We start from the raw sequence: 22,677 nt of genomic DNA, 5'->3' as shown, positions 1-22,677 counted from the left end.
AATTTTGATATAACTTTAGAACTCAGTAAACAAGTGAGGGAGATTTTAGGGGAATAATGAGAAAACTTATTTCTCTAGCCCCAAGAGTTCACTGGAGACCTTTCTGGACTAAGCCCTATCTAGAGCTATTCTGGATGGAGATTCAGGATAAGCACCAGAAGGAGCCTCACCCAGACTATCCCGCCAGGCCAAAAACATCTATTCCAGGGTCTTGCAACTGCATGTGGGGCTGGACAGTCCTCTGCTGTGGTGGCCTGTCCCATGCATTGCAGGATGTTCAGCAGCATCCCTGGCCTCTGCCCAGTAGATGCCGGTAACACCCACCCCTTTAGTTGTAAAAACTAAAAACATCTTCAGATATTGCCAAATGTCTTCTGGAGGCAAAATCCTCCTTGGCTAAGAACCACTGATCTAGGGCAATCCCAAACACAGGAGTCTTCTGGAAGGTAAATCCAAGAAATCTTTGAATGAAATAGATACACTCCCATCCTACTTGAAACAAATCAGGTGTGCATTTAATCGGCATTCTTATCACCCTGGCTGGTCGGTGACAAGGGTTCTCTTGGCTGCATTTGTCTAATTTCCCTTCAGTGGGCCACTACAGAATGCACATTTTTCAAAGGATGGTCTCATTCATATAAATAGATAAGAAAAAAGTGCAGATGCTGCCTTATCTAATTAACTTTTATACAAAAATGGTATAGTTCTAGAAAGCTCAATTTAAAATCATTAAGATAATGGGCCCTCTTTAGGAATATAAAGCCATTTATTTAGGCCTAAGAAAATTTAGGGATGGAGAGCATTACAAAGTTTTTAAAGCTATCCTTTGAAACATAATTACTTTCCCTATACTTAGTTTGTATATTGAATTTTTTAAAGTCATAGAATTTTTGTTTACAGCTGCAGAGTCCAAATGATGAGGCTTTGATGCAACAAGGTGGAGACTACAAATGTGTGAAATATTAGTATCTGTATAGCCCAGAAACCATGCCAGTTTTTACAGGCTTGGAGCCCCTATGCCCTGCTGGACTTAGAGAAAGTCAGCCTGGTTTAGACTGATCTAGAACCCTTTAAATTCATCTTTCACTCTTGGTTTCAGTTGTGGTAAAAACCACTCCACTGCATTACATCTCTAGCTGAAGTGATACATCAAATCACATCTTCACCTCCTCCTTTCCCTCCCACGCACACCCACTCCAGATGCTGGTGTCATCTCCTTAGTATTTTTCAGATTGGGGATCAGAAACGATGGTGTTCTTTAATATCCTTCAGCTCCATTTTCATTGCAGATATTGAAGGAAGAAAGTTAGATTTCTAGACAACCTAAGCCTTTTGCCAGTACCCCAGCCAGGACAGCAGTGGGATATTAGGGCATCTGCAGTTAGCCGTGCAGCAGTTGCGGTCGCAGTAGTTAACATTTTGGAATGCCTAATGTATATATCAGGCTCTGGTCAAAGAACTCTACATGTATCATCACATTTACTCTTCACAACAATCTTATGAAATAATATTATCTCTATTTTGAGATAACTTGAGACACAGAAAGGTAAAGCAACTCATTTAAGATCACAAAGCTAGTAAGTGATGGTGCCATCCTTTGAACCCATATGCCTGACTTTGAGGTTCAACCTGTGACCCACTGTGCTATGGTGCACCATGCTGTAAGCTCCACTGAAGAGCATGCGGTTTATCCACAGGACAACAAGGCATCATTGGTGATCAGATGTGTGTTTCAGAAAGATGACTCTCTCTGCAATATTTGGGAAAAGACTGGAGGCAGAGAGGTCAATCCAGAAGCACTGTGGGTGGCAAGATAAGGTGGCCTGGACTAGGACAATGCCTGTGGGGAAGGAAAGAAGGTAAAGTCAAGGAGGATTGTGGAGGCAGATGCAACGGAATCTGAAGGTTGAGTGGCTGTAAGGGTAAAGATGAAGGGGATCAAAGATGATGCCGAGATATCAACTTGCTGGTGCTATCAAGCTATCATGATCCGGGGAACACAGAAAGTATGAGAGTGAGAGAGACAGAGAACTAAATGTGGGATATGTTTCCAACAGACAGGCTTCTGCTGCAAAAGGTACTTTTAAAAGTCTCATTAAATGGTGCGACACGGATCTAACGGTGAACTAATGGGCAAGTAGCATCTGCTGGCAGGTGAGGGTAAAGGTGTATGGGGCCCCATGACATCAAGCTGCCTGTCTGAAAAACAAAACAAGAACTGTGAGCCTAGTAGAGTGCTGACAGCCAATACCCAGATAGGGATGAGCTGGAGGGAGAAATGAATGACTCTCACTATGGACTGATCCTTCCCTTTCAATAGCCTCCAGATGGTCTGGGTACCAAGCCTGGCAAAGACAGAAGTCTCTCAAGTAAACCTGAGAAAAAGGGATAATGAAGCTCTTGTCCTGTAAGGGGGTCAGAAGGATGGGAGGAGAAGTGGGAAAGAATGAAGATGAAAATCACTTTTGACATGTGGATATCTCATAGATATAAAGGGGATTTCCACAGAAATAGCACATGCATTCTAAAGCAAACATCAAACTATCAGCCAATGCCCCCATCACCCGAGCTATCTAATGTGCAACTCCAGAGGGACCCAAGTTACCAGAGAACATCCATTAGATGCTAACTCCTTTGAGTAACAACTGCCTCCTATCAAATCAATCTTCAGACATCAATGCAGGAAGGGAGGGAAAAGTTTTGGAGTTTTAGCATACAGAGAATATTAGTCATCCAACATCTCCAAAATTTGTATAAATGATACCTAGACAATATTAAAGCAACGTTTATTGAATAATGATTAAGTACCATTAATATTAAGTACTCTGTGCTGAGTGCTTTCTATTCAAGTTTCTTTTTTTAAGGATGTGAGGCTTTTAACGTTGTCCAGGTTGGCCTCAAACACATAGCCTCACCTCCTCATATGCCAGGACAACCGGCCTGAACCACCACAGCTCCCAGTCCATTCAGTTTTCACAATGAGGTAAATCATGCTAATACCATCCCAAATAAGGAAACTGATGCTTAGAGAGATCATCAACTTACCAATATCATACAGCTAATCAGTGACAGAGCCAGGATTTGAACCCAGGTCTGTCTGACTTCAGAGATCAAGCTCATCAGAACAGTACTGTTACCATGACTTTGAAGCTTATGAGAGAAATAACACGTTTCTCAAGCTGTCTGTCCATATCGCCATTGTGAGGAAATCAGCATGGAGCAGCCTTATGCAGTGCTAGGTGAAGGGGTGGCTATTTCCTGCCACAAGAATGAGCCTCATTTTCCCTTCTCCATCCAGTGCAAGGAACTGCCAGGGAAAATTAGGCTCACTAAGTTGATCACACCTCTACAGGCTTCAATTTGAGAACAGAGTTAAGAATGAAGATATTTCACAATGAATATAGCAAAGCACTCAGGCCCTGTCACTAGACTCTCTTTAAAAATATTTATACAAGAGAAAAATGTAGATATTTTAAAGAAAGAATCTGAAAAGACTCTGAAAGTTGAGGGCTTCTACAAAGCTAGTCTAGACATTTACTTGTTATTCATGAACTCTAAAATGTATTGGAATAGAATCTGAATACGCTTAATAGATTTCATGTAGACTTAAATTAAACTTATGGAACTTCCCTAATTCAATTCCCGTTGAAAAAGCAAGTCATATTCTCCAGTGCTGGATCGAGCATGTTTCTGGAAGTCAATGGAAAGTGCTCAGAAGTAGGAGAGCTATGCCTTCACACATGAAAGAAGGCTGTGGCAGGCAGCTTTGCACCTGTGGATAGAGGCTGGGCTGGCTCTTTACACTGCTTGGTAGCTCTGGGTTTTTGGTAGCTCTTTACACTGCTTGGTAGCTCTTGGTAGCTCTTTACACTGCTTGGTAGCTTCTGGGTAGCTCACTTGGTAGCTCTGGGTTTCCTTCACACACCCACAATGGTATTTTCCCCTGTTGTCTTCGGAACAGCTAAGAACAACAGACCTATGCCTTGATAGCCCCCAAATACATGTACCTCTCTGTACATCTGTATATCATGCAAAATTGCCAATGTGCTTTTAGGAGATCTCATCTCCCTGCTTTTTTGACCTTAAAGGTTTATTGGCTGGATGCAGTGGCTCACGCCTGTAATCCCAGCACGTTGGGAGGCCAAGAAGAAGGACTGCTTGAGCCAGGAGTTCAAGACCAGCCTGGGCAACATGGTGAAACCCTGTCTCTATTAAAAAATATTTAAAATATTTAAAATATTTTTAAAAATATTTTAAAATATTTAAAATATTTTTAAAAATATTTTAAAATCAGCTGGGCATAGTGGCACACATCTGTAGTCACAACTACTCGGGAGGCTGAGGTGGGAGGATCACTTGAGCCCTGGAAGTCAAGGCTGCAGCAAGCCATGATTCCACTACACTCCAGCCTGGGTGACAGAGAAAGACTCTGTCTAAAAACAAACAAACAAAAAACATTCTTCATTTAATGGAATGATGGAACATATAGATGATTGTATTCATTTTCTGTTGCTACTGTAACAAATTACCACAAATGTGACAGATAGCTCAAAAAATTACAATGTATTATTTTCCAGTTCTGGAGGTCAGAAGTCCAAAATGGATGGGCAAGACTGTGCCCCTTCGGGAGGCTCTGGGAGAATCCCTTTCCTTACCCTTCCTGGCCTACAGAGGTTGCCTCCATCCTTGGCTTATGGACCCTTCCTCCATTTTCAAAGCCAACAGCGTAGCATCTTCCAACCTCTGTCTGACTGTCACTCTCCTGCTTCCCTCTTAAAAAGATTTTGTGATTACACTGGGCCCACCTGGATAATCAAGGATCATCTCCCCATCTCAAGATCCTGAACCTAATCACATCTGCAAAGTCAGTTTTATTACATAAGGGTAACATATTCTCAGGTTCCAAGGATTAGGACATGGACATCTTTGAAGGCCATTATTCAGCATAGCACAATGCTAGTTTTTTTTTTTTGAGACGGAGTCTCGCTTTGTCACCCAGGCTGGAGTGCAGTGGCACAATCTCTGCTCACTGCAAGCTCTGCCTCCCAGGTTCACGCCATTCTCCTGCCTCAGCCTCCCGAGTAGCTGGGACTACAGGCGCCCACCACCACGCCCAGCTAACTTTTTGTATTTTTAGTAGAGACGGGGTTTCACCATGTTAGCCAGGATGGTCTCGATCTCCTGACCTCGTGATCTGCCCACCTCGGCCTCCCAAAGTGCTGGGATTACAGGTGTGAGCCACCACACCAGGCCAATGCTAGTTATTTTTAATGAACTTTCTTATTTGGAATAAGTTGAAAACCATATGTTAATCCCCAGGGGTTTTGTTTTGTTTTGTTTTGTTTTAAGCTTTACTATCCACGAATTGCAAAAGTTGAGCTACGATTGTTATGAACCTCCGGCCAGTTTAAAGTTTAACATGAGCTTGGATAGGAAACAGAACAGCAGAGTACAGAGAACCTGTCTTGTGACCACCCAAAAAAGGAGTACAAAAAGATTATTGGTTTTTATTCATGCATTCAACAAGCATTTATTTACCAAAGCGCAATCAGAGGTTTTTATGAGATACTTTGTAAGTACTGAGCACCATGGAGATGTAAAGAAAGATAAAACATGATTCCCAAAAGGCTCATATTACAGCCCGTCCTTCCTATCCATGGGTTCCACATCCACAGATTCAACCAACTGAGGATCAAAAATATTTTTCAAGAAACAATAAAAAATAATACAAATAAAAATACAGTATAACAACTATTTACTTAGCATTTACATTGTGTTAGGTATTAAAAGTAATCTGGAGATGATTTAAAGTATACGGGATGATTGGGTGGATTATATACAAACATTATGACATTTTATATAAGAGACTTAAAAGGTACCCAGGGATTGTGGTACCTAAGGGGGTCCTAGAACCAATACCCAGCAGATACTGAGGGACGACTGTATAGCTGGAGCAACTGTAACTAGGAACCAGAGAACAACCTAAGGCAAAGGGATTTGTTTACGTTTCATTTGGAATGCAGAGCCTCATTTTCTATTATTCTTTATCCTGGCCGCAGGCAGGCAGAAGAACTAAATCACACTGAAATAGTGAGACATGCCCACCAGCATTTTGGTGGTGGACATTCAAGAATTGAACACCATCAGAATCAGAATACATACATGAGATTCGCCTTGGAACTGCAATCACATTTTGGCTACCAGAACAGGGAGTCAAAACAAAAACCAGAGTTGTTGACCCAAAGGTTTTCACAAATACAGGTTTAAAGGGCAATGAACTAATGCTTCCAAATGGCTTTAATTCAAGGAGGGCACACAAATGGAATTTTAAAGAAAATATTATAGCCAAATGAATATAAAAGTGGTATTTTTAATTTCATGATACTTTTAAAATAATGAATCTATAGCATAGTCTGAGAAGCCTAGTTGAGTGTGAATTTATTCCCAAGCTATTATTTTACATGAAAGCTGCAGAAATAGCCACAAGTCCAAGTTCACCTGACCAACGCCATCATTTCCAGGTGACGCCACCCCCAGGAGGAAATTCTGTGGCTCAGCCACTGGAAAGGGCTTCATCCCAGCTCAGAGCTATGGCAGGATGGGCTCCATCAAGCTCATTCTGCAGGTGCCTCCTTCCTGTGAAGCCTCAGCAGCTCAACAGGGCAAGAGGTGTGTACTGCCTCAGGGCTTGGCATCTGCGTGAGAAACAATCCCCCCACCTCCACTTTCACTGCTTTAGTAAATGTTGTGAGTGAAATAAAGTGAATGATGTGATGATAGTAACAGCTAATATTTACTTAGAATCTACTGCATATCAGGCAACATTCTAAGTGCTTAACATGTATTAGGTCAATGTAATGGTTAATACTAGGTGTCAACTCTATTGGATTGAAGGATGTCTGGATGGCTGGTAAAGTATCGTTTCTGGGTGTGTCCGTAAGGGTGTTGCCAGAGGAGATTGACATTTGAGTTGGTGGACTGGGAGAGGAAGACTCACCCTCAATGTGGGTGGTCACCATCCAATCAACTGCCAGTGTGGCTAGGAGGAGAGATAAGCTGGCTTGCTGGGACTTCTGGCTTCCATCTTTTTCCCTTGCTGGATGCTCCCTTTTGCTCCTCCTGCCTTTGGACATCAGACTGCCAGTTCTTTTGCCTTTGGGCTCTGGGACTTGTACCAGTGGCTTGCGGGGGTCTCGCAGGCCTTTGGCCACACACTGAAGGCTGCAGTGTTGGCTTACATGGTTTTGAGGCTTTCAGACTTGGACTGAGCCACTACCAGCTTCTTTCTTCCCCAGCTTGCAGACAGCCTATTGTGGAACTTCACCTTGTGAAGTTTCTCTCTAAGAAACTCCCTTTCATATATACATATATCCTATTGGCACTGTCCCTCTGGAGAACCCTGACTAATAAAGTCATTTAATCTTCTGGAAATCTTATGAGGTTGGTAGTATTATAACTCCCCACCCCCCATCTTATTGATGCAAAACTAAAGCACAGATAACTTATGTGACTTGCCCAGTTAGTAAGTTGTGAAATTGGTATGTGAACCTAAATAGTGTGGCCCAGAGCCATACTCTCAACTATACATTAGACCACCTTGCTTTACAGCTAGGGCCAGGAGTGTGGCCTCAACTTGGGGAGTAGAGTGGCTCTTAAGAGAAACAATCCAAGTGGATGGAAAAGAGCCCAGGAGTAAGAGCCATGCAAACCAGGCTGGGATCCATAAGAGCCATGAGCCTTTGAGGGCTTGGCGGAAGTATCTGTAAAGTTCATGTTATGGTTTTGCGGGGCTGCTCTCATCTGGCCTGGAGTGCTGCAGTAGGCAGGGTACCTCCTGGCCTCTGGATGAAGTCCCAAAAGCTCCTCTTCAATGGAAGAACCCAGCTAACATGCATGAAGAGGTCTGCTTTCTTCATTCGTACTGACTGAAGAGCTGGAGCGCTGCTTTCAATTCTTAAAAATAAATTCAAAGCAAGCTACAGAAATTCTGATACAAAAAGAGGGCTGCTTCTTCAGTGATCACAGAATGGGAACATTTCCAGTTTGCTGGGCCCTGCTCCAGAAGTGTTACCAGGCTATCACAAAGGACTCCGAAATCCTCAAGGGAGTTTATTACAGCTCTTGGAATCCAATGGCTAGTAGAAGAAAAGACTTTCTTAAAGTTTCTCAGACATCTGTTTCTTCCACAACAACAACAACAAAAAACAATTTTTTTCATCAATCAAAATTGTCAGTTAATTCCCCATACTACCAGCAGTCCATCAATATGTTAATCTTTTACTTTAAGATGATTGCTTAGTCAAATGGAGAAAAACAAAATATGCATGTCATATATATACCAGATTCAAGAAATAAAGACAGCCTTCTTGCTGCATGTTTATTGGGTAGATTTTTGCTATTTTTTTATTGCATTTATCTTTCATATGTGACCTCAGTTTTCAACCATAGGAAAAGTGTCACGTAAAATCTGATGCCAAGGCCACTGATACCTTCGTGAAACTCATCTACCTCAGTGGATTCCAGGTGGAACAGCATCACGAGCGAGCTATGGGGCTGCCACTGACATTCACAAATCACCATCAAGGCTGCTGAAACCTAGCTATTAGACATTGATTTCTGAGTGCAAAATTAGTTTTTTTCAAATGAATTTCAGCAGGCCCTAGAACTAATTTTAAATTTCTTTTTAGTTGATTCATAGTGAAAGTATTGATTCATTAGGGAGTTTCTAGGGCCAAAACTGCATCTTTCATTGTTATTAAAGGACTTTCAATTGTGTGCGTGCATTTTGAAAAAATATTTAGAACACCTGAAGCCATTCTCTCTTGGTTATACAGATGATTTGTGCTTCAAAACCCCCAAAACCTAAGTCTCACCCGAACGAGGTGATTACATATTTGAAGGAAATATGGATATTTTGTCAGATTGTTACATATTTGAAGAAAAAGAACCAAAACCTCATGTAAAGTACTACCAAATAGTTGGAAAAAGACATGTAATTAAATGTTAGTGTACTACTATTGCTTTTCTTTCATGGAGAGCTAAGAGTCTGAAAAAAAATGACATCTGTGTGTGTATGTGTGTGTGTGTGTGTGTGTGTGTGTGTGTGTGTGATGTAAGAATGTTTGATACACTTCATTGACATGAAAATCATTGGGAAATGGGAAAAGAGCCAATGATGAGGGGACATTTAGGCACTGGTGGTCTTTAAAGCATAAACCAGTTCAAAGTCTACAGGGAGTAGATGAAAAAAATTTAGTTATATTTTTCCCAATGGAAAGAGTGGGGACATGGATGGAAATGGTTAAGGCAGTGACTACTACCTTGAGAAAGCCAGGCTGGAATTCTGGGAACTGACCCTGAATGCTATTCAGTCTTCGTACTCTGACATCTATATTTGAAAGCCAACATTTGAAGTGCAAGTATGCACCTGGCCATCTTCTAGGAATGGTATTAAAGCACCCAATAGGGTCAATCATGCAGCTTCTTGAGAGTAACTGTGGCCTTGACAGGAAAGGGACAGGGGAAGCCTCTGCTTTTTCTATGTATTTCCTTCCCTCTTCTTTTGTCATGAGCACACCCTAGCTCCTTACGTACTTTATTTCCAGTGGTTCCTTCAGGCTGCAAGCAATCCAAGACCATGCAGACAGGCAGCCAGCTCTTTACAAAAATCACTCCTGCCTTAGACAGCCCAGGTGAATCTGCAGAGTTGCTCCAGGGACAAGCAGAAATGAAGTCACATTCCTACTTAATTCTGTTTGGAGAAAGGCAGAGAATAACTCAGCAGCCATAGAAAAGAGCACTAAACCTTGCACACTGTTTAACAGAAAATATGCACTTTATTCTACAAATTTCAATGAAATTTGCCTGCCAGAAACAAAGAATGGTGCTGGCTACATTGAATAGTACACACATTATGAGACATATACCCAGTGCACAAGATGTTTGCAACCTTGTTGAGGCTGAAACATTTACATCGAAAATCCAATCAGGTTATGAGCAAACTACAAGAGATATAGACTGGGAGTCACCAGTGTATGGTTGGTGTGTTAATTAGTTCTATTGGTCAACTTGACTGAGCTAACGAATGTCCAAACAGCTGGTAAAATATTTCTGGGTGTGTCTATGAGGGTATTTCTGAAGGAGATACGTATTTGAATTGGTAAACTAAGTGAAGAAGATCACCCTTACCGAGGTAGGCAGGCATCCTCTAAAAAGGCAAAGGAGGGGCAAAATTCTCTCCTTCTCCTGTGGAGAAGAAGAGGCTTCTCCTATCTCTATCTTCTTCTGGTCATCAGAACTACAAGCACTCAGGACTTCAGACTCCATGACTTACACCAGCAGCCCCCTGAGTTTCTTAAGCCTTCGGGCTTGGACTGAATTACATCACAGCTTTCCTGGTTCTCCGGCTAGCAGATGGCAGATCATGGGACTTCTTGAGCTCCATAATCCCATGAGCTGATTCCCATAATAAACCTCCTGTTATATATCTGTGTATACACCATATTGGTTCTGTTTCTCTGGAGAACGCTGACTGACACAGCTGGCAACTGACATCACACAAGGAATGGCTGATGTTAGCTGAGGGGACTTTCTTGCTCCAACTTTTCTGACCTTCCCCCAGTCTCCTATATTGCAGACCTCTCTCAAACCTCCAGACCTTTGTAGATGCCCTTCCCCCAGTTCTGGCCAGCTGCTAGACCATATTTTCTTTGAAAAAATTTTCTTGCCCCCTGTTATGTATTCCCACAACCCTGTGCATTTCCCTACCATAGCATTTATCACACAGCATTGTAATTTCTTATTAATCTATCTCCCTGATGAGACTTCAGCACTGTAGACTAGAAACTACATAGCATAAGGTTATGCTCGCTTTAAATCTTGGCTCTACAACTGTTAAGCTATGTAATATTGGATGAGGTTCTTAGCCTCCCTAGGAATCCATATCCTCAGGAATAATAATTGTACTCAACTTTACATAGTTGTGTCAACTGATAAAATGTGTGGAAATTCTAGCATGAGCCTGGCACATGGAAAGGGTTCTGGAAATGCTGGAAATGTAGACAGGTATAATAATTGTATTCTAAGTTGTTCCTGTTGTATTCTGAGTTCTATAAAGGCATTTGTTTATTCATTTATTATTGTGTAAACTTATTATTTGTTGCATGTTAAGGGTCAACATAAGGTTTGCATACACTATGTACTCCAGCGTTCATTCAATGAATAAATGAAAGGATGAAAATTGTATTCATGAAACTTGAGCAGACCAGAGGACAATACTTACATCCACTAACTCTGCATTTCTGAAGTTGTTATGGATTAAGAATTCGTGTGTGTGTGTGTGTGTCTGGGTGTGTGTGTGGCTCTAGGTGTGTGTGAGTCTAGATGTGTCTGTGTATGTATGTACATGAACATACATGCACAATATATAAAACTGGTAAAGACTCCTACTCAGGAAATAGTCCATGACTTAAACAAATCAACAAAGTGGCAACTCCCCCTAAAAACATACAGCTTAAACCCTTATTTGACTTCAAATGTAGGTCCATTGTCAAAGACCACACATCTGGAAAAGCCATGACATAATGCAGGCCATAATTCAGGGTTTGTCTGCTTCACAGCACACCTTAACATCACCCTCCTGTATTCCCACTCTGCCTATGCTCCCACTTCCCACAGTTCTTATCTTGTTATATTATTTATGAGCCTGAACTATAAATACATTGAAATAGGGAGGATTTTGTTGGCTTGGTGCAGTTTAAAGTGCTTTTCAGTACTATATATATTTACAACATCTTATAAATATTTAAAATTGTCATAATAATGACTCCATTGACTCATAATAAATTCTGTGTTTAGTGTAGGGATGATTGCCAAATTGATAATCCAGAAAATTGGAAAACCCCATCAAACTTTGTGACCTGATGGTCCCCAAAGAATATCTTTCTAATTACTGGAAAAGCCTGAGCAGTAAGCTTAGCTATCTTAGAAGTTGATCTTAATAGATAAACATCCTGAAATTTACCTCTTTGGGAAAGATAAGTAAAAGAAATATTTTCTGCTGAAAGAAATATTTTCTGCTGAAGAATTTGTTTATTGGACTGTATCTTAAAAGTCGAATAATTTTTAAGAGCTATCAGGCAGTGTATAAAAAAAATCACAGATCAAGAAGTACCCTCCATGGTCTGAATGGAGAATTCCAAGCATGATGGAGAATAAAGTGTGTGAGAACACTGAAAAATGATGCTGCAGATGTATAGCAAGGATCCTTGGGAAAGAGCCTTGAATGCCATAAAGGAGTGTGAACTTTATACCAAAGGGCAGTGATTCTCCAAGTGTGGCCGCTGAGCAGTCAGCAGCATCAGTGTCACCTGGCAGCCTATTAGAAATGCAAATGGCCCAGCCCTAGCCTGGGCCTATGGAATCAGAAACTCTGGGGCTGGGGCTAAAGCACAGTCATCTATGTTTTCACAAGCCCTCCAGGTGACTCTGATGCACCTCTGCCATACAGAATATTTCTAAGTATTGGAATTATATAATCAGATCTGGGTGTGCCAATGGCAACGTGAAAAACGGATCAGAAGAGAAGACACTGAAGGTGGGAGGGGCTGAAAAGAGTAATGAAAGTATTGATTGATCAGAGATTTTTGCATTTTATCTGTATTTTTTCAAGCCTAAGATGACATTGATGATGTCACACCACTATTATATTCACCTCTAGAAAGAACACGTCTGCCAATTAAACAATAACCTAATGTTTCTTATCACTTGGAATTTGTATTTTATACTTACTAAAAGGGATCCTTTATACTTATACTGTCAGATTTTTATCATATATCACCCTTGCACATACATAAATGGGAAAATATAAGCAAAATAATTTGGTCAAGGTATTTCTAACATTTATTTTCTATTCAGAATCTGACTCTTCTGAAGCACTGTCCACTCAAAAGCTATCTAGAATGTGAATGGAGGGAGCATTCTGTGTTTTTATAAAGCTCCACTGTTGTTTCTGGGATTTTCTTCCAAGTGCCTGATGCCTATTCTGCAAGTCTGGATGCACACGCACAGACCATGGTGTCCCCCTCATGACTGCTGCCTGTAAGATGCTTCCTGGCTTTGCAGATGATAAAGTGTGGGATGTGAAGGACATTTTAAAATTGATGATATCCCAATGAGCACTCACCTGGGCCTCTACTAGGGCAGTAATGGGAGTAATAGGAATAAGGGGACAAAGGCCAATCAGAATCCATCAGAGGTGGATTCTAAAAGTTGTGTGCCCAACTAGATGCAGAGAAAGGGAAGAGGTACATGACTCTGAGGTTTCTAATTTGAGTGACTTAATGGATGGCAATGCCCTGGATTGGAAACTCAGGAGGAGTGGGTTTTAATAGCAGAAGGAAAGCAGTGGATAAGGTAAAATGGGTTTGGTTTATGGTTTTTTGAATGGGACATCCCAGAGGGATTCCCAGGTAAAAATGACTGGGATGCAGATATAAATAAAACTTCATAACTCAAGGGTGAGTGAGGGTGAATCATGGTTAAAGAGAAATAGTTTTTAATCCACAACATCTAAATGGTAGTTGAAACCAGGGTGATGAGTACCATCTTCCAAGGAGGATATACAGAGAAGTTGAAGACAGTTAGTTATAGAACAAAAACAAAAATTAAAGAAGTAAATAGAGATTTGAAGGAAGGAGCAGAGAGAGAAAAAAATTGTTAGATGATGTTTACATATCTTGTGGGCACCTCAAAGACAAAAACTGTCTTACATGTATTCTCACTCCCTAAGACAATGCCTAATCCAATAACATTTGTTGAACCAACATGAAAATGGTGACCCAAAAGCCAAAAAGGTGAATATTTTAAGGAGAAAATGATCAACAATATTAAATGTTATAGCTGATATATAAATAAAATGACAAAGAGGCCACTGGATTTAGTAAATCCAGTTTAACTTGCACCGCTACCACCAACTTCATTTTACAGGTTAAGAAAGAGAGGCCTAGAGACTTGAACACACATGTCCAGGACCACCAGTTGGCTGACTGGAGAGTCAGAGGCAGGACTCTGGTCTCCTGGCTCTTTTCCTGGGGCTGTTTTCTCTATACGGAGCTTCCCCTCTTAGAAGAGGATTACATCCACTGCAGATAAAGCTCTGGATCCAGGCAATCAGATAGGCTCTTTTCTTAGTCCATTTTCTGTGGCTATAACAGAATACCACAGGTTGGGTAATTTACAAAGAAAAGAGATTTATTTGGCCACAGTTCTGGAGACTGAAAGTCCAACATTGAGGGGATGCATCTGGTGAGGACCTTCTGCTATGCCATGACTGACGGAAGGGCATCATATGGTAAGAGCAGAAGAGACAGACAGAGATAGTGGAGGCTAAACTTAACTTTTTATCAGGAGCCCACTCCCGAGATAATTAACCCAGATAGCAGCATTAATCCAGTAACGAGGACACAGCCTTCATGACCTCATCACCTTTTAAAGGCTCCACCTCTTAATACTGTTAAAACGGCAATTCAATTTTTTTTTTTTCTTGAGACGGAGTTTCACTCTTGTTGCCCAGGCTGGAGTGCAGTGGCATGATCTCAGCTCACTGCAACCTCTGCCTCCAGGGTTCAGGCGATTCTCATGCCTCAGCCTCCCGAGTAGCTGGGATTACAGGTGTCTGCCACCACGCCTGGCTAATTTTTTGTATTTTCAGTAGAGATGGGGTTTCACCATGTTGGCCAGGCTGGTCTCGAACTCCTGACCTCAGGTGATCCACCCACCTCAGCCTCCCAAAGTGCTGGGATTACAGGGATGAGCCACTGCACCTGGCCAGCAATTCAATTTTTAACTCATGAACTTTAGGGGACATATTCAAACCATAGCAGCTCCTACTGACCAAGTCCACCCGTAACAACAAACTCCACTAACAGCCACATCACCTCCACGGAGCAGGAGAGAACAGAGCAAGGGGTCTGGTCCTGGGCATGCATTTTAGGGCTTGCCCTAATACCTGATCATTCATCGCCGGCGGAGTACCCAGTGGAAGAAAAAGTTCAGGGGACTTTACTCTCTGGGTTCTATCTTGAGCCAGAATTTCCTCTGACTCTGGTTACATGTAATAGAACAGAAAGTGACACCACAAGCAGGCAGCAGAAAAACAAAACGGGCTTCTTCTATAGTATGCGGTCATTAACCAGGATGTTCATACCAGCTTCTGTATGAAGAAGAGCAAAATTTGAATTCAGTGAAGTCAAAACAAAGATAATGGTATCATTCTTTTTGATGTCAATTAAGTTGTATCACTGTTTATTGGGCTGATGACATCCTGAGAAAATGAGTGATTTCTTCAAAGCAGTGATTCTCAAACATCAGAGCTTATCAGAATCACCTGGAAAGGCACCTCTTTCAGAGCTCCCAGGGTAGCCTAAAGTGGGCTCTGCCCTTAAAGCTCCAAATTCTCTGGAGGTTTATCCCAAGAGAAATAGTGAACATAACATCTCCCACATTTCAAAAGTAAAACCATTCAAAGATCAGGCTCCATGACTTATTTCCCTCTTTGTAATCCTTGCAGGGCCAGAGGGTCGACAGGATGAGACGTGTGGCCAAAACCCATGTGGCTTCAGTGTTTTTATTAATACAGACATGTACAGCCATGCGGAGGTGTCCGGAAGCCCCCATCTGGCAAAGATGACTAATGGGACTTTCCCACTGACATCCTAGTAAAGGTGCCAGAAGTATATTCATTCCAGATCACAGCCGTAATAGGGCAGTTTCTCTTGGGACACTACCCTGACAGACAACCGTCTTCCTTTTACAACCTACGTGACACCCCCATGTGGTACCTTCCTCTCCACAGTGGTGAGCACAGAAATGCATATCTGACCAGAACCCGGGAACTGAACGCTTCACAGCAAATGTCAACCTTTCTATAAACTAGTAGGAGTGCAATTTTTCTTCCATTATGCAGATTGCAATTTCCACCCACTTTTATATTCCATGTCCCAAAAAGTGAAAAGCAGATACTGTAGTTAGAATCTCTAATCAAAGGAGCACTAAGTGGGTACAAAAGTAGATGAAAACTCAAGAAGATACTATTGGCTGTTTGCAGAAAATCATCAAAGACTTTCTCACAAAGCAGTGGGAAGGAATTGAGTGAAGAGTGATGTATTCACTGATGGGTTCTATGGAGTCAGAACATGCAAATACATATTAGGCTAAGAAATACAGAGTACATTTATTCAGAGCCTACTCTCACAAAGATAGGCAAGATTTCTAACTAGAGATAAAACTCATATAACCATTGACACAATCCTAGTCCATTAATAATTGCTTTTTTTCATATTGTGAAGAGAGGAACCAACAGCATTAATAAGAAATAGGTATCTGGAGTATGAACTGTCCTATTAACTGAGTGACCTTGGGAAAGTCATATAATCTTTCTGGGCTTCAGTTGTATCATAAGTAAAATAAGATTGAACTAGGCCAGGTGCAGTGGCTCACACCTGTAATCCCATCACATAGGGAAGCTGAGGTGGGAGGATCGCTTGAGCCCAGCAGTTCGAGGCAAGCCTGGATAAAACAGTGAGACTTTGTCTCTATAAAAATTTTTTTAAAAAATAGTTAGCTGGATGTGGTGATGCATACTTGTGGTCCAGCTACTTGGGAGGCTGGGGAGGGAGGATCACTTGAGCCCAGGAGGTCAAGGCTGCAGTGAGCCGTGATCATGCCACTGCATTCCAGCCTGAGCAACAGAGTGAGACCCTGTCTCAAAAATAAGAATAAAAAAAATTGAACTATATGCTTTCTAAGATTTCTCCCAACCCTGAAGTTCTGTGTCTATAACCGAGGGAACACTGGCTATTGGAAGATTTAACAGAGATATGAAGCATCGGGGGATATGTCTTATAATAGCAAAATAATTCTCTTTCATCATGGACAAGAACACAAATAAATATGACTGTGGTCATAACAGAAGCAGGATTTGAAAAGCTGCAAAGATACAGGAGCTGCAGAGCAGATTCCTAGAACACCATACTCAGGCAGAAAAAATCATCTCTCCAAGGATGCCAAACTATATTTTCTAAACAGTGTCTTACAGAATGGCAACTCTGCTGGGTACTAAAAGGCTTGAGAAATGAACAAAGTTAAATAAGTAATTTTGCTGCAAGAGGTCTCAGAGCCTTTTCTGCACTGTCCAACATAACTTTCTGCAATGATGGAAATGTTCTATGTATGTACTTTCCAATATGGCAGCCATGAGCCACATATGGCTATTAAGCATTTGAAATGTAGCTAGTGTAATGGAGAAATTGAATTTTTTATTTTATTAATTAGTTTGTAGTTAAATAGCCAGATGGGGCTAGTTTCTATATTTCAGAAAGCACAACTTATATCACACATACACATTTATAATGCTAGCTCTAAGAGGGAGCCAGCACATACAGCATTTACCAAACTTGTTGAGCCATAAAATTCTGCTTCCAAAGGACTGGAATTCTTTGCAAAACCATTTGGGAAACACTAGACTACGAGCTATCTGCTAGGTGGTTGAAGCCCCAGGAGACCACTCTAGCTTTGACATTCTAACTAGCCAGCACCATCATGGGCATCAGTCCCCACCAAGTGGTAAAGACTGGGTTGTTCTCTGTTCTCAACATGTGATAATATCATCTCACAATTCAGTCACATCAAAATTTCCCAAGTCCCAACAGACACCCTTAGCAGAGGTAGCCCAGTGCAGGTACAGTCAACGGGAATCAAGCAATGTTAAACAACTGGCTGTCCCTTTCCACCAAACGTAAAACAATGATAATCTAGTGCAACTGGGCTTTTAAGTTCACCAGGCAATCTTGGATGCAATGATATATCATTATCTCAACAACCCAATGAGATAGGCAGCATTCCATTTTGTAGGTGATGAAAATGGTGCTTACACAGCTAAAGTGACTTAGTTGCTCAAGGTCACACAGTTACTGGGACTTAACCTCAATCTTTGAACTACACCTCCTCAGTCATTCTAACAAAACCATTTTGAACTGAATTTTTCCTTACAATGCCTAGGGCCCATAAAAATATTGAATTAATAAATTCTCAAAATACCAAAACATTATAGATCCCTGAGGAAAGTACTTTGTGTTACAAGCTTTGCTCACACATACCTTGAGAAGTATAATAAATGCAAGAAATGTGTAATGATAATGGAATATATAAGAGACTGACGTAATTATTCATGAATATGTGTAATTCCTATTCTCCAAGAACTCCTCCACTGGACCTGTAATAATTATGTGCCTCTCAACTGAAAAATCCACATTGGTGTGTAAATAACCAGCTACAAACTTCATTCGCCCAATTATTTCTCCTTTCCTGGGTATGCAATCAATTTAGTGCTTCTGAATGCTATTTATTCAGACCGCAATAGCATACACAACTGCCCATTTGTGCCTCAAATTCATGCTTGACTCCTTGAGTGGCAGCTTGTGGGCCAAAGCCCTTGAACTAATTTGTCATCACATCAGATGAGTGCATTTGACTCTGACCTACACAATTGCAGAAATCAAGGTTACTCCATGGAATATTGTTTCTTGAACCATCATTTGGCCTTGCAGGAAATTAGGATTTGCAGCTATGACTCCATGTTCCAAATCCAAGCATTGCCGAAAGAAGACAATACAGGTCTTGAAACAGCATGTCAAAGAGGTGACTCTCTACAAATTACACAGGCATGGCTGGCTATTAGCAGGGCTCACTGCACTCACTTTGGCTTTTAGATTAAAATATAATCACTTTCAGTCAAATATATAGCAGTCATTATTTTCTCTTCACTAAAATTATATACACTTAATATAAATAATAGACTTTATTATGCCATACTGTACTCTGAAAATAATTTATACTACAGTTTTCATTACAATGTGGCATACAAAATGCCATCTGCGGTCATCTCAAGGGTTCTGAGAAACCCAAAGGGAAGGAAAAGTGGGAGGTAAAATAGCAATGAAAGAAGAACAAAAGGTCAGCTGGAAGGAAGATACAAGGACATTTAAAGGCGAAGGCTGGGTTGTCAGGCAGCTTGAACAAAGTGATGAGACACATGGAGGGCCTGGAAAATCTGAGAGAGAGATGATTTAAGTAATCAGCACTCTCAAAGGCACAGTGGACAACACAGGAAAAGTTGTGGGGAACGAAAAGGTTGGTTAAGGGGGAAGTTGGAAACACATGAATGGGAAAGGGGGAACAAAACACCTCTGCACACAAATCCACACATCCAGCTAAGAAAGCTCAGGGGCTGGAGAGCTCTGGTACACCACCACCAGATCTTACCACCTGGGACTTTGTTAATATCTCACATTCCTGGTTCACAGGAATCTGTGGTTTTAACAGGCACCTCCAGGTGACTCTCATGATGGGCCAGTTTGGGAGGCAGTGCTAGTGAAGAATGGCACAGATGTGGGGCTGACAGCCTAAAGTTTGAAACCAGACCCATCCACTCACCAGCTCCGTGAACTTGGAAGACACTTGACTTTCTGAGCCTGGGTCTTCTTGTCCATAAAAGTAAGAATATGTTTTGCCCCATAACGATCCTCCAGGTTAGGTCTTATTATCAACATCCCCACTTTACAGATTAGGAAGCCAAAGTAAAGAGTGATGAAGTACTTCGCCCAAAGCCATGCTGCTGACAAGTGGCAAAGTTGGTATCAAAGCAGAAGACACCTGGCTCCAGGTGCTATGCTCTCAGTCAGACACTGTTCTGCCTCTCCTCCCAGAAAGGAACGCTCTACTGAGAAAGGCAGGAGAAAAGCTTTCCAGGCAAAGCACTTTATGTTAATTCTTATTCACATCAGATAACAACTGATGTCCCACTTATATAAGTTACTCTGTAAACTAGCAAGTTTACTCAAATTAATTTTTGAATCAAGCGTTTCTTCCCCAAGATTAATCATTTATAGGAATCAAGCCATGACTCCACCTGGGAGATGGCTCGAGCATATTAATGCTTCAACAAAAGTCACAGCTAATAATGGTACCACAAGTAGTAGAAATGAGTATTCAATCAGGCACCCTTAGTCTACGTGCCCAGACTTGAATCTGCCCTAATGGGATTCACTGATGCAAGACCATGTGCCTTGAGTGGATTCACCTCTACACTATTTTACACAGGCTTCTAATCTCCTCAACATATTCCTGAGCTGCAAATTTGCATTCTCTTTGAAATTGGGTCTTACTAGTTCATTTCTGAAGACACTGCAGCATATATCAAAATGAAGATCTAATCACCTGCTGTTCTGACAAAGAATATTTATTTTACCAGGATGTGTGAAATGATTCTTTCTCATTTGTCATCATGCTCTTCACTCCGGGGTGAAAGAAGATGCACATCATGCATCCTGAAAGATAGAACATGATGCCAGAAACTAATTCTGAATGTTCTGTCTTTCAAAATACATATGTATATATAAATATAAATTTTTAAAAATATATGTATACTTCAGAAGACAGAGTCCATTGGACTCTGAACCAGAAGAATGACTTTTTCTTATTCCTTCCCATTGGCAGATATTCTGCCTTCTGGAGGTTTTACACCATTCCATGTAAAATATTTAAAGGTAGCTGCCATGTTCTGGGGTTCTGGTTAGTGAGCTTTCTGCCATAAGAGGTATTCAGACCAAGTCAGTTGATCATCTGGCAGAAAGGTGTAGTGCTTAAAATCAAACACCAGAAGCGGTATTTAAACTGGATCACCTTTACCTCCTAACCTTCAGCTTCTAGGACCATCCTGGCCTCTTCTGTCAGGCTTCAAAGGTTCAATTCTTCCATCATTACTCCTAGAACACTGTCTTCATATTTCATCAATCTAGTTGTCCCACCCTCATCTGGATATGCCCTCATTGATCAACATGCCTCTTAAAGGGTGCTCCTCAGAACTAAACAAATGTGATCTGACCAATGAAGAACACCCTAGGACTGTCACCTCTTTAATCAACAGTCACTTCTATAATGTGCTCTGGAAGAGCACTTCCTGTTGTTAAAGCTATGCCTCACCAGTGGCTCTAGTTGAGCTTGGGGTAACCTCAAGTGTCCAAAGTTGTAGCAACTTGGACACAGATTTTGACAGGAGGCTGGGGAAGGAGGTCATCTGTGCAATGAGCCATCTGTTTAGAGAGACTATCACCATGGGGAAAAGCATCCAGGAGATGGAAAGGGAGGTGAGAAACTTTCAGAGGTAAATTTCACTTTTTCAGTTTTGCCTCTGATTGGCCCTGGGATTCAGGACCATGGAGACAGTCAATCCAAAATCTCCAAAACAAAGTTTATACCTGCCTTTAGTCTAAATTATACCAAGAAACATTCCCCCGACCCTTCTTCATCTCTACATCTCAAGATTTACTGTCTGAGCATACTTGAACTTTGGATAGTCAAATATTTCACTAAGGAAGTATTTTAGGGTTCAAAAATAGAATCAGAGAAAAGGATGCCCCAAAACACAAGAAAGTATCCCAAGATATAGCATAATGGGATGAAGTGATGGAAGCTTCCTCCAAGTTAGGAATCAACTGTGTCCTGCTTCACTGCAATGCAGTGACAAGATCCAGTGTAGACTTCCACACATATACACACGCACACACACACACACACACACAAACCCTCATATTGCATCTTTGAGCATTAGGGCAGACAAGGAGCAGAGGGTCTTGCCTTTGCCCTAATGCTCAAAGATGCAATATCAACTAAATGACTCCCATATTAAGTTCAATCTGTCAACCAGGAATGATTGACCAACTAATTTTCTTGAAAATTATCCACAAAGGTTCTACACTGGTACCTTCTTCAACTTCATCCTGATCACACCTTTATGTCATGCATGTCCACAGGGCCACATCACAAACAGGCACTCAAAATGTTTACAAAGGAATGCAAAATCCATCTCTGTTCACTCATTCAAAAGTACTCAGCATCTACTAAGTGCTTATCTAAAGAAGTATGAGAAGATTCTTTTCCTCCAAGAACTTACCCTGTAGTCACAAGATGCCTCTATACTAAATATTTCAATCCAGCACACTAGGCAACCACATGACCCCATGTCCAAAGGAGTTGTAAATGCATAATAAACTGGAGGAGTTTAAAGGAGGGGAAGGCTGAGGGCTGACCAGCTACAACCTCCTGAAAACAAGGGAATCAGAGCTGCATGGGATAGGCCCAATCTTACAACCAGGTTACAAGAGCCTGGAGGAGTCCAGCTGCCATTTCCACTGCCAGTCTGGAAGGCTGCAGGGAATCACAATCATTACAAGCCTGAAGAATTATGTCTTGAGTATTCCTGGCAACTCAATTACAGCATGCAAATTTTCCGCGGAGTTGACTTCTCGGCTTCAGAACCACGCACACGCTCCTTTGGGCTTTTTGCACGAGGAAAACATTGTTGGGAAAGGAGTCTGAGGATCAGCCACTGGGAAGTGCACTCAATAGCACTTTGGTTGAGATAATTGCCGCTTTTTTTTTTTAAATTGTAGGCTTTAGAGATGACCACAAGCAAAATTTGTGACAGACATTTGACACTGAGAAACTCTGCTGTGTATGGGTGAAATTTTTCACATCCCCCGCCCCAAAGGCTGGTTTATTGACCAACAAAGGGAAATTATCTAAAACCACTAGAATATGTTAGCCAAGTTTTCTCTTTTG

General features: G+C 41.3%; 5 annotated features.

Moving 5' to 3' along the window:
- Positions 3,708-3,847: an enhancer, noted in NCBI's record as "active region_7649". NCBI's record gives its function as "activates an Ori minimal core promoter by ATAC-STARR-seq in GM12878 lymphoblastoid cells {active_cell/tissue: GM12878}" and the evidence as "EXISTENCE:reporter gene assay evidence [ECO:0000049][PMID:35858748]".
- Positions 8,605-8,754: an enhancer, noted in NCBI's record as "active region_7648". NCBI's record gives its function as "activates an Ori minimal core promoter by ATAC-STARR-seq in GM12878 lymphoblastoid cells {active_cell/tissue: GM12878}" and the evidence as "EXISTENCE:reporter gene assay evidence [ECO:0000049][PMID:35858748]".
- Positions 14,862-16,061: an enhancer, noted in NCBI's record as "BRD4-independent group 4 enhancer chr13:42979722-42980921 (GRCh37/hg19 assembly coordinates)". NCBI's record gives its function as "activates an origin of replication core promoter dependent on BRD2, P300/CBP, MED14 and CDK7 cofactors, and independent of BRD4, by STARR-seq in HCT116 cells {active_cell/tissue: HCT116}" and the evidence as "EXISTENCE:reporter gene assay evidence [ECO:0000049][PMID:35650434]".
- Positions 15,359-15,768: an enhancer, noted in NCBI's record as "active region_7647". NCBI's record gives its function as "activates an Ori minimal core promoter by ATAC-STARR-seq in GM12878 lymphoblastoid cells {active_cell/tissue: GM12878}" and the evidence as "EXISTENCE:reporter gene assay evidence [ECO:0000049][PMID:35858748]".
- Positions 20,994-21,083: a silencer, noted in NCBI's record as "silent region_5300". NCBI's record gives its function as "represses an Ori minimal core promoter by ATAC-STARR-seq in GM12878 lymphoblastoid cells {active_cell/tissue: GM12878}" and the evidence as "EXISTENCE:reporter gene assay evidence [ECO:0000049][PMID:35858748]".

Source organism: Homo sapiens, chromosome 13, assembly GCF_000001405.40.
Source record: "Homo sapiens chromosome 13, GRCh38.p14 Primary Assembly".
Taxonomy (NCBI): Eukaryota; Metazoa; Chordata; class Mammalia; order Primates; family Hominidae; genus Homo; species Homo sapiens.
Note: the sequence above shows the minus strand (reverse complement) of the source record. Positions and strands in the feature narration are given on the sequence as shown.